This window comes from Homo sapiens, chromosome 1, assembly GCF_000001405.40.
Source record: "Homo sapiens chromosome 1, GRCh38.p14 Primary Assembly".
Classification (NCBI taxonomy): domain Eukaryota; kingdom Metazoa; phylum Chordata; class Mammalia; order Primates; family Hominidae; genus Homo; species Homo sapiens.
In genome coordinates, this window is record NC_000001.11 from 26,591,999 (window position 1) to 26,608,282 (window position 16,284).

General features: G+C 46.0%; 1 non-coding gene and 1 pseudogene across 1 annotated transcript; both read right to left on the reverse strand.

Moving 5' to 3' along the window:
* Positions 1,247-1,548, reverse strand: RN7SL679P (RNA, 7SL, cytoplasmic 679, pseudogene; annotated as a pseudogene).
* LOC124904769 (U7 small nuclear RNA) lies at positions 10,371-10,434 on the reverse strand. Its single transcript, XR_007067342.1, has one exon. It is a non-coding gene; the product is annotated as a U7 small nuclear RNA (small nuclear RNA).
* Positions 10,435-16,284: the final 5,850 nt, after the last annotated feature.

A 16,284-nucleotide genomic window follows, 5' to 3' on the forward strand; every position in this document is an offset into this window, starting at 1 on the left:
AAACCTTAGCTTCACCACCCACTGGCTGTGTGACTTTGAGCAAATTACCCAAACTTTCTTCTTTTTCTTCTTATTCTTCTTTCTTTCTTCTTCTTCTTCTCTTCCTCTTCCTCTTATTCTCCTCCTTCTCCTTCTTCTTCTTTTTTGAAACAGGGTCTTGCTCTGTCACCCAGGCTGGAGTGCAGTGGCTTGATCTTGGCTCACTGCAACCTCCACCTCCTGTGTTCAAGCGATTTTTCTGCCTCAGCCTCCCCAGTAGCTGGGACTACAGGTGCGCACCACCACGCCTGGCTAATTTTTGTATTTTTGGTAGAGATGGAGTTTCACCATTTTGGCCAGGCTGGTCTCGAACTCCTGACCTTGTGATCCACCTGCCTTGGCCTCCCAAAGTGCTGGGATTACAGGTGTGAGCCACTGCTCCCAGCTCAAGTTTTTGTTTTAAGGTTAATTTTCTTTTTTTTCTAAGAAAGCTTTTTCTACCCAAAGTTCTCAAAGATTTTTCTCTTGTTTTCTTGCAAAAGTTTTAGCTTTTACGATTAGGCCTATGATCCATTTCCATTTAATTTTTATGGTATCATATACTATATGAGTATGATATAAGCATTGAAATTGTTTTTCCTTATGGATATCTAATTGTTTCTGCACCATTTTTAGAAAAGACTACCCTTTCTTAACATCTTTGTTGAAAATCAACTTACCACATATGTGTGAGTCTGTTCCTGAACTCTCTATTCTATTGATCTACAGATCTTTCTAATAGCACAGTTTTGATTACCATGCTTTACAGTGCTTATAACTCAGTCTTGAAACTGGGTAGCTTAAGTCCTCCTCTCTTTTATCTTTTTTTTGGAGGGATAGAGATGGGGTCTCCCATATTGCTTAGGCTGGTCTTGAACTCCTAGGCAATGAACATTTTCAAAATTTCAAAAAATGGAGCAAAAATCATTCAATTACTTATGAAAAAGAAGAAAAATATTTTCACACATATTAACTCTTTTAATCCTAACAGCCCTTTGAGGTAGGTACCATATAATCATTCCCATTTTACAGATGGAGAAGTTGATTCCCAGAGACTTTGAATAACTTGCCCAAGGAAATGAATAAGGTTTGAACCCAGGCAGTCTGGCTTTAGGGCATGTAAGCAATTAGGTAAGCAATTCTCTTGCCTTGGCCTCCCAAAGTGCTGGGATTACAGGCATGGGCCATCATGCCCGTGCCCCCTGCTTTTCTTTTTTTTTTTTTTTAGGAGACAGGGTCTTACTACATTGTCCAGGCTGGAGTGCAGTGGCTATTCACAGGCACAATTCCACTACTGATCAGCACAGGAGTTTTGACCTGCTCAGTTCCCAACCTGGGCTAGTTCACCTCTCCTTAGGCAACCTGGTGGTCCCCCAGCTCCCAGGAGGTCACCATATTGATGCAGAATTTAGTGCAAACAGACACCTGATGGACGTAGCACACTATGGCCCAGAACTCTTGGACTCAAGCCATCCTCCTGCCTCAGCCTCCCATGTAGCTGGGACAACAGGGTGCGCCACTGCACCTGGCTCTTTTATTTTTTTAAATTTTCTCTCTCCCCCTTGATTTTGTGCAGTTTCATTATGATGAGATTCTTCTTCTTCTTTTTTTTTTTTGAGATGACATTTCACTCGTCATCCAGGCTGGAGTGCAATGGCGCGATCTTGGCTCACTGCAACCTCTGCCCCCCAGGTTCAAGGGATTCTCCTGCCTCAGCCATCACAGTAGGTGGGATTCCAAGCATGTGCCACTATGCCTGGCTAATTTTTTGTATTTTTAGTAGAGAAGGGGTTTCCCCATGTTGGCCAGGCTGGTCTCGAACTTCCAACCTCAAGTGATCCACCTGCCTCGGCCTCTCAAAGTGCTGGGATTACAGGCGTGAGCCACCGTGCCCGGCTCTTCTTTTTTTTTTTTTTTTTTTTAATAAGGCTAGTCAAGTGGAGCAGTGGGAGTAGAGAAGGAACAAAGAAATCTGTAACTGGTTGTGATCAATTAGTTGCAAACACCACTGCACTTGGACCAGCTATCTTCTTTTTAAATATCAACCTAGGAGCAGAATAATTGGCACAGAAACTATTGTCAAAATTAATTTGACTATGTACTGGCTGATTGCTTTCTAGAATGGCTGCACTAATCTATACTCCCATCAGGGTCCCTATATACCTCATTTTGGCTAACACTTAGCATTACTCAGATTTCTAGTTTTTGCCAATCTAATGGTATAATGTGATATATCAATGTTGTTTCTTTAAGCAGCTGTATTGAATTGACATACAATAAACTGCAAAGGGTACAATTTGATGAGTTTTGACATTTGCATACACCTGTGAAACTATCTTTACAATAAAGATTATGAGTGTATCCATCATCCCCAAAAGCTTCCTCATGCTCCTTTGATTGTTTTGGGTTTTTTTGTTTTGTTTTGTTTTCTGAGACGGAGTTTCGCTCTTGTTGCCCAGGCTGGAGTGCAATGGCGTGATCTCAGCTCACTGCAACCTCCACCTCCCAGGGTCAAGCGATTCTCCTGCCTCAGCCTCCCGAGTAGCTGGGATTACAGGCATGCACCACCACACCCAGCTAATTTTTGTATTTTTAGTAGAGATAGGGTTTCTCCATGTTGATCAGGCTGGTCTCAAACTCCCAACCTCAGGTGATCCGCCCGCCTCAGCCTCCCAAAGTGCTGGGAATTACAGGCATGAGCCACTGCGCCCAGCCTGTTTTGCGGTTTTTTGTTTTGTTTTGTTTTTTTGTTGAGACTGAGTCTTGCTCTGTCACTCATGCTGGAGTGCAGTAGCTCTATCTTGGCTTACTACACCTCTGCCTCCCAGGCTGAAGTGATCCTACTGCCTCAGCCTTCTAAGTAGCTGGGATTACAGGTACCTGCCACTACGCCCGGCTTATTTTTATATTTTTAGTAGAGATGGGATTTCACTATGTTGGGCAGGCTGGTCTTGAACTTCTGACCTCAAGTGATCTGCTTGTCTCAGCCTTCCAAAGTGCTGGGATTACAGGCATGAGCCATCGCACCCGGGCCCTCATGCCCCTTTGAGTCTGAGCTTTTCCATCTCCAAAGTGCAGCTTAGTTGTAAGGATGTATGGTGTTAGCTTAGCTTGGGGACTGGCACACAGAAAGCACTGGGGAAATGAAGCTTATATTACTGCAAACATACAGCTGGGTAGTTAAGTATACATGCCCTAAAGCCAGACTGACTGGGTTCAAACCTTATTCATTTCCTTGGGCAAGTTATTCAAAGTCTCTGGGAATCAACTTCTCCATCTGTAAAATGGGAATGATTATATGGTACCTACCTCAAAGGGCTATTAGGATTAAAAGAGTTAATATGTGGCTCTTCTCCCTTTAAGACCAGCCCTGCCCCTGCCCCTGCCCCTGCCCCTGCCCCTGCCCCTGCCCCTGCCTCTGCCTCTGCCTCTGCCTCTCCCCTCTCCCCTCTCCCCTCTCCCTCTCGGTCTCCCTCTCCCTCTCTTTCCACGGTCTCCCTCTGATGCCGAGCCGAAGCTGGACTGTACTGCTGCCATCTCGGCTCACTGCAACCTCCCTGCCTGATTCTCCTGCCTCAGCCTGCCGAGTGCCTGCGATTGCAGGCACGCGCCACCACGCCTGACTGGTTTTCGTACTTTTTTGGTGGAGACGGGGTTTCGCTGTGTTGGCCGGGCTGGTCTCCAGCTCCTAACCGCGAGTGATCCGCCAGCCTTGGCCTCCCGAGGTGCCGGGATTGCAGACGGAGTCTGGTTCACTCAGTGCTCAATGGTGCCCAGGCTGGAGTGCAGTGGCGTGATCTCAGCTCGCTACAACCTCCATCTCCCAGCCGCCTGCCTTGGCCTCCCAAAGTGCCGAGATTGCAGCCTCTGCCCGGCCACCACCCCGTCTGGGAAGTGAGGAGCGTCTCTGCCTGGCCGCCCATCGTCTGGGATGTGAGGAGCCCCTCTGCCTGGCTGCCCAGTCTGGAAAGTGAGGAGCGTCTCTGACCGGCCGCCATCCCATCTAGGAAGTGAGGAGCGCCTCTTCCCGGCAGCCATCCCATCTGGGAAGTGAGGAGCGTCTCTGCCCGGCCGCCCATCGTCTGAGATGTGGGGAGCGCCTCTGCCCCGCCGCCCCGTCTGGGATGTGAGGAGCGCCTCTGCCCGGCCGCGACCCCGTCTGGGAGGTGAGGAGCGTCTCTGCCCAGCCGCCCCATCTGAGAAGTGAGGAGCCCCTCCGCCCGGCAGCCGCCCCGTCTGAGAAGTGAGGAGTCCCTCTGCCCGGCAGCCACCCCGTCTGGGAAGTGAGGAGCGTCTCCGCCCGGCAGCCGCCCCGTCCGGGAGGGAGGTGGGGGGGTCAGCCCCCCGCCCGGCCAGCCGCCCCGTCCGGGAGGGAGGTGGGGGGGTCAGCCCCCCGTCCGGGAGGGAGGTGGGGGCGGTCAGCCCCCCGCCCGGCCAGCCACCCTGTCCGGGAGGTGAGGGGCGCCTCTGCCCAGCCGCCCCTACTGGGAAGTGAGGAGCCCCTCTGCCTGGCCAGCCACCCCGTCCAGGAGGGAGGTGGGGGAGTCAGCCCCCCACCCGGCCAGCCGCCCCGTCCGGGAGGGAGGTGGGGGGGTCAGCCCCCCGCCCGGCCAGCCACCCCGTCCAGGAGGGAGGTGGGGTGAGCCCCCCGCCCAGCCAGCCGCCCCGTCCGGGAGGTGAGGGGCGCCTCTGCCCAGCCGCCCCTACTGGGAAGTGAGGAGCCCCTCTGCCGGGCCAGCCACCCCGTCCGGGAGGGAGGTGGGGGGATCAACACCCCGCCCGGCCAGCCGCCCCGTCCGGGAGGGAGGTGGGGGGGTCAGCCCCCGCCCGGCCAGCCAGCCCGTCCGGGAGGGAGGTGGGGGGGTCAGCCCCCCGCCCGGCCAGCCGCCCCGTCCGGGAGGTGAGGGGCGCCTCTGCCCGGCCACCCCTACTAGGAAGTGAGGAGCCCCTCTGCCCAGCCACCACCTCGTCTGGGAGGTGTACCCAACAGCTCATTGAGAACGGGCCATGATGACAATGGCGGTTTTGTGGAACAGAAAGGGGGGAAAGGTGGGGAAAACATTGAGAAATCGGATGGTTGCCGTGTCTGTGTAGAAAGAAGTAGACATGGGAGACTTTTCATTTTGTTCTGTACTAAGATAAATTCTTCTGCCTTGGGATCCTGTTGATCGGTGACCTTACCCCCAACCCTGTGCTCTCTGAAACATGTGCTGTGTCCACTCAGGGTTAAATGGATTAAGGGCGGTGCAAGATGTGCTTTGTTAAACAGATGCTTGAAGGCAGCATGCTCGTTAAGAATCATCACCACTCCCTAATCTCAAGTACCCAGGGACACAAACACTGCGGAAGGCTGCAGGGTCCTCTGCCTAGGAAAACCAGAGACCTTTGTTCACTTGTTTATCTGCCAACCTTCCCTCCACTATTGTCCTATGACCCTGCCAAATCCCCCTCTGCGAGAAACACCCAAGAATGATCAATAAAAAAAATAAAAATTAAAAAAAAAGTTAATATGTGTGAAAATATTTCTTCTTTTTCATAAGTAATTGAATGATTTTTGCTCTATTTTTTGAAATTTTGAAAATATTCATTAGCACCTTCTCTGACATGTAGGGATTTGGAACTCCAACTTGGGAGCTTCTGAATTAAGTGTAGTTTCTCAGTGGTCTCCTTGCAAATTTGGTACTATTAGGTCTCTGATGAAAGCGGTAATGGTAATTCTCAGAGTCACCACAAGAGGGAATAGAAATTTACTCTTGTGGCTTGTGAGGACAATTCAATTATATTTCTGATCTACCCACTTGGAAATAACTATTTGATATCCGAGCAACCAGCCCCTTCTTGGTATGTTAGATCTGGGACTTACACAAATGACTTAGTGTTAGTGTTTTGACTATCCTGAGTCTCTGTGGTTGAGCACTACAACACACATATGAACAAAAGGATTCACAGCCTTTGGAGCATAACCTGTTTACAAGTAGCAGTAGAAGTACTAAAATAATAACAATGGCCAACATTTATTAAGTTAACATGTTTGGCGCTATTCTGTTTTCCATTAACCTATCCTATTATGATAGGTATTCTTATTATCTTATTTCCTCACTTTAAAGGTAAAAATATTGGGGTCTAGAGGTGAGGAAACTTGCCAAAGAAGACATGGCCATTAGAATGATTTATAGTTAATGAAAGGTAATTTCATAGTAGGAGAAAAAAAGAGACTATTTTAATGAAGGTTTTTTTTTTTTGACACAGTCTTACCCTCAAAAAACAATTAAATATATGTACTTTACTCTTAGAGAGTTTGTGTAAATAAACTAGCTTTTGTAAAAGCACCTGACAAGTTCTGACATATAGTAGGAGCTAAGGACACACTTAGTTGGATGCCTCGGGAAACTTGGAAGCCGACCCTGAAACAGGATTTCTCAGTAAGAGATGTTTGTTTGTTTGTTTGGGAGACAGTCTCACTCTGTCACCCAGGCTGGAGTGCAGTAGCACAATCATGACTCTGCAGCCAGACTTAACTCCCAGGTCAATTGATCCTCCTGCCTTAGCCTCCCGAGTAGCCGGGACTGCAGGCATGTGCCACCATGCCCAGCTAATTTTCTTAATTTTTGCAGAGATGAAATCTCACTGTGTTGCTCTGGTTGGTCTTGAACTTCTGGGCTCAAGTGATCCTCACCTTGGCCTTTCAAAGTGCTGGGATTACAGGCATGAGCCATCATGCCCAGCCTTTTTTTTCTCTTTTTTTTTTTGGCGGGGGTGGGGTGGGGGACAGGGTCTTAAGGAAACGCTCCAAGAAGTCAGTAGGGCATAGGAGAAGTTGAGCTGGGAAGGGAAAAAGCAAAAAGCCACGCAAAGGTGAGATTTCAGGCAAAGTCCTCAAGAGAGTAGTTTAATCCCTATTAATCCCTGAAGGAGCTCAAGAGTATAAACTCTACCCAGAGGCAAGAATGCCAGTCTTTCAGACTCCTGCATCTAATCAATCATTTGCTAGAGACCAGGGAATAAGTAAGGAACAAAACCATTCTAGTAACTTGAGGATCTTCCTCTTTTGAAGTGTCGTCTCAGGAGCTGGTTACTGGGAGCAAAAACAAACAGAAGCCAAGGGAGGGTCAGGAGGAACTGGTAGAAGATCTGAGAAGATCTGGGCAGAGCGACAGTATACAGGGTCGTGGTTTTCTCTTCTCAGAAAAACTGGGCTCAAATTCTTGCTTTGCCACTTACCAGCTGTCTGCTGTTTCCCTTTCTTCATCCATAAAGTGGTCACAGTAAATTAATACCTGCCCTTACTTTCTCGCAGGATCAAAAAAGATAAAATGAAACAGTGCAGAGAAAGCCCTTTGAAAGTTAAAATGCTAGGCTGGACGTGGTGGCTCATGCCTGTAATCCCAGTACTTTGGGAGGCCAAGGAGGGCAAATTGCTTGATCCCAAGGGTTCCAGAAGAGCCTGGGCAACACGGCGAAACCCCATCTCTACCAAAAATACAAAAAGTAGCTGGGTGTGGTGGTGGGTGCCTGTAGTTCTAGCTACTCAGGAGGCTGAGGTGGGAGAATTATCTGAGACCGTGAGGTCAAGGCTGTAGTGAGCTATGATTGTGCCACTGCACTCCAGCCTGGGTGACAGAGTGAGACTCTGTCTCAAAAATAAGTAAATTAATTAAATTTAAACAAACAAACAACAAAAAAGTTAAAATGCTAGATAAATTCTACAGGATTTATTCCACAGACATTTACTAAACATCTACTATAAACCAGGCACAGTTCTAGGTGCTGAGATACATAATCTAGTAGGAAACTCATAACCTATTAAGGAGCTTTTTATTCTAGTGAGGGAGACAGAAAAGGAAATAGAAAATTATATGACCTTGGGATAAGTGATGTCATTAAAGTATGTTGGGGAAGGGGAGCCAGTGGCACAAAAGAGGATATGACCAGTTCTATCAGGGGGCAGAAAACCAAGAGAGATTTCCAGAAGAGCTGACATCCAGCTACCTAAAAGATGGGCATGGTTTGTCAGGTATATATGGCCAGAAAGGGTGTTTCTGGCAAGGAAAACAGCACAAGCAAAATCAAAGAGGTATAAAATAACCTGATAAATCAGGGAACTTAAATTCAACCCAAAGGCCTTGAATGTCAGGACTAGGATCTTGAACTTAATCCTACAAGAAAGTGAGAGCCGGCCAGGTGCAGTGGCTCATGGCTGTAATCCCAGCACTTTAATTCGAGACCAGCCTGGCCAACATGGTGAAACCCCATCTCTACTAAAAATACAAAAATTAGCTGGGCATGGTGGCAGGCACCTGTAATCTCAGCTACTCAGGAGGCTGAGGCAGGAGAATCACTTGAACCGGGGAGGCAGAGGATTGCGCCATTGCACATTGCACTCCAGCCTGGGTGACAAGAGCGAGACTCAAAAAAAAAAAAGAAAGAAAGAAAGTGAGAGCCATTGAAGGATTCTGAGCTGGGGAATGGCTTGACCAATTTTGCATTGGAAAATGATTACTCTGACTGGCAGTGGTGTGAACAATGCCCTGGAGAAAGGAAGACCAGATAGGAGACAATTAGAGTGGTAGACAATGAAAAGCCCAGGGGACGCACTCATATGACTTAGATTACTGAGTGGAGAATATGCCTTTTAATAGGATTATAAATCTTATTATTATTTTGCCAAGAGTGAGGGAAAATTAAAGTTTCATATTTTCCCTATTAATCCCAAGGAAGAAACCAGGGATATGGATAAGATTAGGGAGAAACAGCCGGGCACAGTGGCTAACGCCTGTAATCCCAGCACTGTGGGAGACAGAAGTGGGTGGATTACCTGAGGTTAGGAGTTCGAGGCCAGCCTAGCCAACATGTCAAAACCCCGTCTCTACTAAAAATACAAAAAAATCAGCCGGGCGTGGTGGCACGTGCCTGTAATCCCAGCTACTCAGGAGACTGAGACAGGAGAATCACTTGAACCTGGGGGGCAGAGGTTGCAGTGACCCGAGATCGTGCCACTGCACTGCAGCCTGGACTCTGTCTCAAACAAAACAAAACAAACAAACAAACAAAAAAGATTGGGGAAAACCTGTAGACAAAATAAAATATTAATAATAAATCAGGGCTGGGAGCAGTGGCTCACGCCTATAATCCTAGCACTTTGGGAGGCCAAGGCAGGCGGATCACCTGAGGTCAGGAGTTCAAGACCAGCCTGGCCAACATGGTGAAAACTCATCTCTACTAAAAATACAAAAATTAGCCGGGTATGGTGGTGCGTGCCTGTAATCCCAGCTACTCGGGAGGCTGAGGCAGGAGAATCGCTTGAACCCGGGAGGCAGAGGTTGCAGTGAGTCAAGATTGCATCATTGCACTCCAGCCTGGGCAACAGAGCAAGTCTCAAAAAAATAATAATAATAATTTAAAAATTAAAAAAAATCAGCCCAGGCACAGTGGTTCATACCTGTAATCCCAGCACTTTGGGAGACCGAGGCAGAAGGATCACTTGAGCCCCGGAGATCGAGACCAGCCTGGGCAACATAGGGAGACACTATCTCTACAAAAAATACAAAAATTAGCTGAGCATAGTGGTGTAGTCCCAGCTATTTGGGAGGCTGAGGTGGGAGGATCACTTGAGTCTGGGAGGTCAAGGCTGCAGTGAACCATGATCACACCACTGCACTCCAGCTTGGACAACAGAGTGGACTCTGTCTCAACAAAATTTTTTAAATAAAAACAAAAATTAGCTGGTTGGGGTGGCGCACATCTGTGGTCCCAGCTACTTGGGAGGTTGAGGTGGGAGGATCAATTGAGCCCAGGAGTTAGAGGCTGCAGTGAGCCATAATCATGCCACTGTACTCCAACTTGGGCAACAGAGCAAACCCTGTCTCAAAAAAATTAAATAAATAGAAAGTGAGGCCGGGCTTGGTGGCTCATGCCTATAATCCCAGCACTTTGGGAGGCCGAGGCGGGTGGATCACCCGAGGTCATGAGTTCAAGACCAGCCTGGCCAACATAGTGAAATCCCGTCTCTACTAAAACAATAGCTATTATTAATAAATAATAATAATACGAAAATGAGTCTGGCATGGTGGCACATGCCTGTAATCCCAGCTACTCTGGAGGCTGAGGCAGGAGAATCGCTGGAACCCAGGAGGTGGGGGTTGCAGTGAGCCAAGATCACGCCACTGCACTCCAGCCGGGGCAACAGAGCGACACTCCATCTCAAAAAAAAAAAAAAAAAAAGAAAAGAAAGAAAGAAAGAAAGTGAGATCCTTTAAAAAAATTTTTAAAGGAAGATTTTTGTTTTTCCCGTGGGAAGTTTTTCCAGAGAAGAGAACCATCTTCAGTGTTACAGCTCTTTTAGAACTTGTCTAAGAGACAAATTTCAGTGAACACTGGAAAACCTGATAGATAAATTCTAAAAGAGGTGTAACACTGAAAATTTTAACTATACCAATAACCGTAATCAACTGATGGACATCTGGGAGCAAAGCTTTCCAACATTTTGCCTCTTCTTTCTGGTTCTCTGCTGTTGTTTCTCTTTTGAACAGCAGATGGCAGGATAATCCCACAACAGGTGGTCATGATTTAATTTAATTGCAATGAGAAGAAAATTGCTTCTTTTCCCACATGTATTTCTTTCCCGAGATAAACAGTACATAGGGAATCTGCCTCTTTATTGGAAGTAAGATATGTAAGAAGGTAGCTTTTTATCAAGGAACAGCAAGGTAACTAACATAAATTCTGAGCCTTAGATTATTACACTGTGCAAAACCAAGTTTCTGAGAAAGGAGCAAATGGAGGTTGAAAGCCAACTGTTAAAATTCCACATATTCTAGGTTTCCTCAGTTAATAATCATAAAAAGTTTATAGCCAGAAAGTCACAGAGGCCCTTCTGTTGCAATTGTTAGGGTTTAGAGTCAGTGGGAACACCCTTCTCACCCAGGGGATTTTAAAAGCCAATCCCACCTCCTCCCCACAGTCCTCTCCTCTAACGCTCATTTCCCATCGCCTCACAAAATTGCCAGGGTAATTGACTCTTAGATGAGATGAGTTTGACTTTCTACCCTGATTTTGTAACAGAAGTTCTTTTGGTGAGGTTCTTTGTTTGAAAATGCACAATAAAAATGGCTTTAGAATGACTTCAGAGGACTCTTTCTTTTTCTGGTGCCAATAACAGATTCCAAAGCAGCTATTATTCGAGGTGGGTGATAGCATCCCTTGAGTCTGTTTAAGTATCGGTTTTCAAAGTGCCTAGGAACCTGAAATGTCCTGTATGGTATATTTGCAGGTGCATAATTGGCCAAGTGCTCCAGGGGTTATAAAGATTGCCTTCCTGTAGTTGGAATAGACAGATTTAGCCTCTTACTGAAACTGAAGGCTGCAATGTCGATAACAAATCTGATTCTAACTCTCCTGTGTCACTTCAGCCCAAAGGTGCCTTTGTCTCCCAGGAGAAAGAGGTTAGAGGTAAGTGAATGGCCCTTAACCAGAGCCATGTAGAAAACATTGCTAAGGAAGACTTCTGTCCTGAGAGTGGAGGTTTAGGGCTGTTGTGTGTGAAGTAAATTTGCTTTGTTCACAGCCAATCTGACTGAATGCAAGTATTGCTGAGGTGACTGGAGCTGAGCAGCAGCAAACTGCTTTAAAAGCAGCTTTCAGTGGGAAACTTTAAGCATACAATGACTTTATTTTTGTTAAACATAATTCTCCAACCTTGCTTTTTTATTGCACTAACCAAAATAAATCTGGATAAACTTAAAAGGCTGCCTTGATGTCAGTAGGAAAATGGATATTGTCTCTCCCAAAAGTGTTTGAATGGTAGTACATAATCCAGCTACATCCAGATAAGAATACACCTCCGCCTGTAGAAAGCTTTCCTGGAACGGAATATCACCAAGAGTATTCACTTTGGGGCTTGATGGTTCCAGCCCGTCTTACTAAAACTTCTAAAGAAATAGTTTGCCTGCTCTTTCACTCCTCCATTTGTAGTTAATACTTATGTGTACTTAGTGGTGTTCTGAACTCGTTTTATTTCTCAAGGCCTCTGGCATTTGATGATACCTGTGTAGCAGGAGCTTTCATCATACCAAACACAGGGTGGTGTTTAGTGGAGAAGGGGCCAGGAGAGGAAAAAAGCCTAGGCTTTTTCCTAAGTTACTTAACTTGGGAAACCAATGGGCTCCTTTTAAGATTAAATGTGTCTTTAAAATACCAGGATCTTCAGTTATGAAGATATGGGCAAAACTGCTTCCCCCAGACAAACCTGAGGTGGGGGATGTAGGTGTCACATTCAAATCAAAAAGGTGCCTCTCGACAGGAAAGATTTAATCAGCTCTCCTTCCCAGGATCGGCTGCCAGGTTTGAACATTTACTTGTCTGAGTTCCAGGCAGGAGACACTGCTAATTATGGGAGCAATTCCCATGGCTACAGAAAAGAACTGTCTGAGCTGGGGAGTCAAAGCTCTGATCAAGAGGGGACTGAGAGGAAAAAAGCCCCCAGCATTCTCAGAGGAAATTCTGGAGTTGACAAGATACATGCCTTCTCTGCAGGAATGCCCCCTATGTCTGGCATTTGAAGATCTAGAAACATCCTTCCCTTCACCTTCCTAACTTACGTGTTAAGAATCCCTTTGTTTGACAAATAGAATTTTCAAAGCAGTTTCTTTCGTTCAAACACTACGTGATTAAGTTTGTTTTGGAAAAAAACACAGAATGAGGACTTTACTAAGAGTGATTCTCACAAATGATGGTACCTGAAAAGAGGCAAACTTGGCCATCAGGGCAGCCAAAATGGCACAAGCATTTGGAACTTGTTGCCTTATCCTTGGCAAAAACACCACTGGATCCTTTCCGCTCTACGTAAAGTAAGCTGTGGCAAAGTTTACTTTTCTTGTGGCACAAAATCTAGACTCACAGTGAGCTTCTTCACCATTAGCTTCAATTTATATTCTGCCTCTCTTCTTTGTCCATTATTCAGGGCACCTGCTCTCTGTCCCTCCCCCACTCCTCCAGCTGTCTGTCTGTCTCATTTGTGTCAATTAGGAATTCAATACTGCTTGATTTAACTGAATGACTTTCCCTGTACAGAATCTCAACTACAGACAGGGCATCAACCATCACTCCCATTCCCCAGAATAAAAAATTCTGAAAAGCCAAAGGCATGCAAGGATACCTAAGAAAGGAGCAAGAGGTCCTTGCTAGCTATGGCAGTGAGCCTGAGAAAGATGGCAAGACCGCATTTCCTGACACCCAGTTATGTATTTGGTGGCCTACCAAGAGTCAGCATTGCATCCAAGATCATTTGAGTCTACTCTATTTAGTAAAGGTTTTCAAAGAGGATCATAAGACTTAGAAATCAAGAACCAACTGGAAGAAATAAACTTTTTATATCATTTCCTAGTTTACAACATGCTTTCCCATCCTCAGAAGAATGACTTTGTCTTTCTGTTAATTCAGTCATTGAAAACATCGGTCCTATTCTTTAGTCAACTGCCTCTATTCACCTACTATGTGCCAGGCAGTGTTATCAGAGCTGAAAACAGTGTTCTAAGAACAGAAAATAAAATAAAGTTCTTATTCTCATGCAACTTACATTCTAATGGGAAGGATCAAAATAATAAGTAAGTAGACCTATAGTGTATTAAATGATAATGAGGGTATTGAGAATCATAAAGCAGTGTTAAGGGAGATAGAAATTATGGTTTGAGCAGAGTCTTTTTTTTTTTTTTTTTTTTGAGATGGAGTCTCACTCTCTTGCCAGGCTGGAGGGCAATGGTGTGATCTCAGCTCAATGCAACCTCCGACTCCCTGGTTCAAGCAATTCTCCTGCCTCAGCCTCCTGAGTAGCTGGGATTACAGGCACGCGCCACCATGCCCAGCTAATTTTTTGTATTTTTAGTACAGATGGGGTTTCACCATGTTGTCCAGGATGGTCTCGATCTCCTGACCTTGTGATCTGCCCGCCTCGGCCTCCCAAAGTGTTGGGATTACAGGTGTGAGCCACCGCGCCCGGCTGGACAGAGTTTTTTTAGTTTACAAAGGGTAGACAGAAAGAACTCACTGATGAGGTGATTTGAGCTGAGACATAAAAGAAGAGGGAGAACAAGCCATATAAATATGAGGGGGAGGAGCTTGCCAGGCAGAGGGCACAGCAAATGCACAGGTCCTGACACAGGAGTTTCCTTGTTGAAGGAGACCAATTGTAGCTAAATAGAATAAGCCAAGGGAAAGATGTAAGAGAGGTCAGGAAAGTGGGAGTGGAGGGGACAGACTTGTAAGGCCTTGTAAATCATTGTGGGGTCTTTGTTTATTTTGTTTTGTTTTGTTTTAGACAGACTCTCGCTCTTTTGCCCAGGCTGGCTGAAGTGCAGTGGCACAGTCTTGGCTCATTGCAACCTCCGCCTCCCAGGTTCAAGCGATTCTCCTGCCTCAGCCTCCCAAGTAGCTGGGATTACAGGTGTGCACCACCACACTCAGCTAACTTTTATATTTTTAGTAGAGACAGGGTTTCACCATGTTGGCCAGGCTGGTCTTGAACTCCTGGGCTCAAGTGATCTGCCCGCCTTTGCCTCCCAAAGTGCTGGGATTACAGGTGTGAGCCACTGTGCTCGACCTCTCTGTTTTTTATTCTGAGTGAGATGAGAAGCCACTGGAGGGTTTTTAGTAGGGGAAAGACTTATGTTTTATGATATGACATAAAATTATTTAATTTTTTTACAACGGGGTCACCCAGGCTGGAGTGTAGTGGCGCAGTCATAGCTCACTGCAGCCTTGAACTCCTGGGCTCAAGTGATCCTCCTGCCTCAGTCTCCTAAGTAGTTAGGACTACAGGTGTGAACCACTATGCCAGCTAATTTTAAAATTTTTTTGAAGAGATCGGGTTTCACTATGTTGCCCAGGCTGGTCTCAAACTCCTGGCCTCAGGTGATCCTCCTGTCTTGGCCTCCCAAAACACTGGGGTTACAGGCACAGGCCACCACACTCAGCCTCTAAAAAAATTTATGGGTACATAATAGTTGTAAATATGATTTATGTTTTTAAAGGATTATTATGGCTGCTGTGTAGAAAATAGAAGGTAGGAGTGGAAGAGCTGAAGCAGGGAGACCAGTTAGGAGGCAATTGCAGGAATCAAAGCAAGAAATAATGGTGGCTTGGGTCAGGGTGATAGCAGTGCAGGTGGTGACAAGTGGTCATATTTTGGACGTAGAGGTGCCAGGATTTGCTGATGGATATGATGAGGAATATAAGAGAAATAGAGAGGAGTCAAGAATATTGTGAAGCTTTTGGCCCAAGCAAGTATTAGATAATAGTGGAAAGAACAGAGTCCTTGAATCAGAGGCTGTGAGAGACTAAATCTCAATTCCACGGTTTATGGATTGTGTAATCTTGGGCAAGTCACCGAACCTCTCTGAGCATCAGTTTCTTCATCAGTAAGAAACCTTTTGAAATATTGTGGCTCTAGGATCTTCTCAATTCTCTCTTTGTTAACTTACCATTCTCTAATGGCTTCTCACTGTATTTAGAATAAAATACAAACTCCTTTGAGGTCCAAGAAAGCCCTGTATGGACTGGCCTCACCTACCTCTCCAACCTGTCAGCTACATTGAGCTTCTTTTTGTGTTCGTCTGGTAACAAATAGAACCTGGTAACCCAACCCCTGCCCTCCCCTCCCCTCTCCTCTCTTTCTTTCTTTCTTTCTTTCTTTTTTTTTTTTTTTTTTTTTGACAGGGTCTTGCTCCATCACCGAGGCTGAAGTGCAGAAGTGAGATCAGAGATCATGTCACAGCTCACTGCAGCCTTGACCTCCCAGGTTCAAGTGATCCTCCCACTTCAGCCTCCTGAATTGCCGGGACTATAGGCACATGCCACCACACTCAACTAATTAAAAAAAAAAAATTGTAGGCTGGGCACAGTGGTTCATGCCTGTAATCCCAGCACTTCGGGAGGACGAGGAAAGCAGATCACTTGAGGCCAGGAGTTTGAGACCAGCCTGGCCAACATAGTGAAACCCCGTCTCTACTTAAAATACAAAAAATTAGCCAGGTGTGGCAGCTCGCGCCAATAGTTCCAGCTACTCTGGGGCTAAGGCGGGAGAATCGCTTGAACCCAAGAGGCAGAGGCTGCAGTGAGCCGAGATCATGCCACAGAAGTCCAGTCTGAGAGACAGAGCAAGACCCCTCTCAAAAAAAAAAAAAAAAAAAAAAAAAAATATATATATATATATATATATATTTGTAGACACTGGGGGGTCTCCTTATGTTGCCCATTTGAATTCCTGGGCTCAAG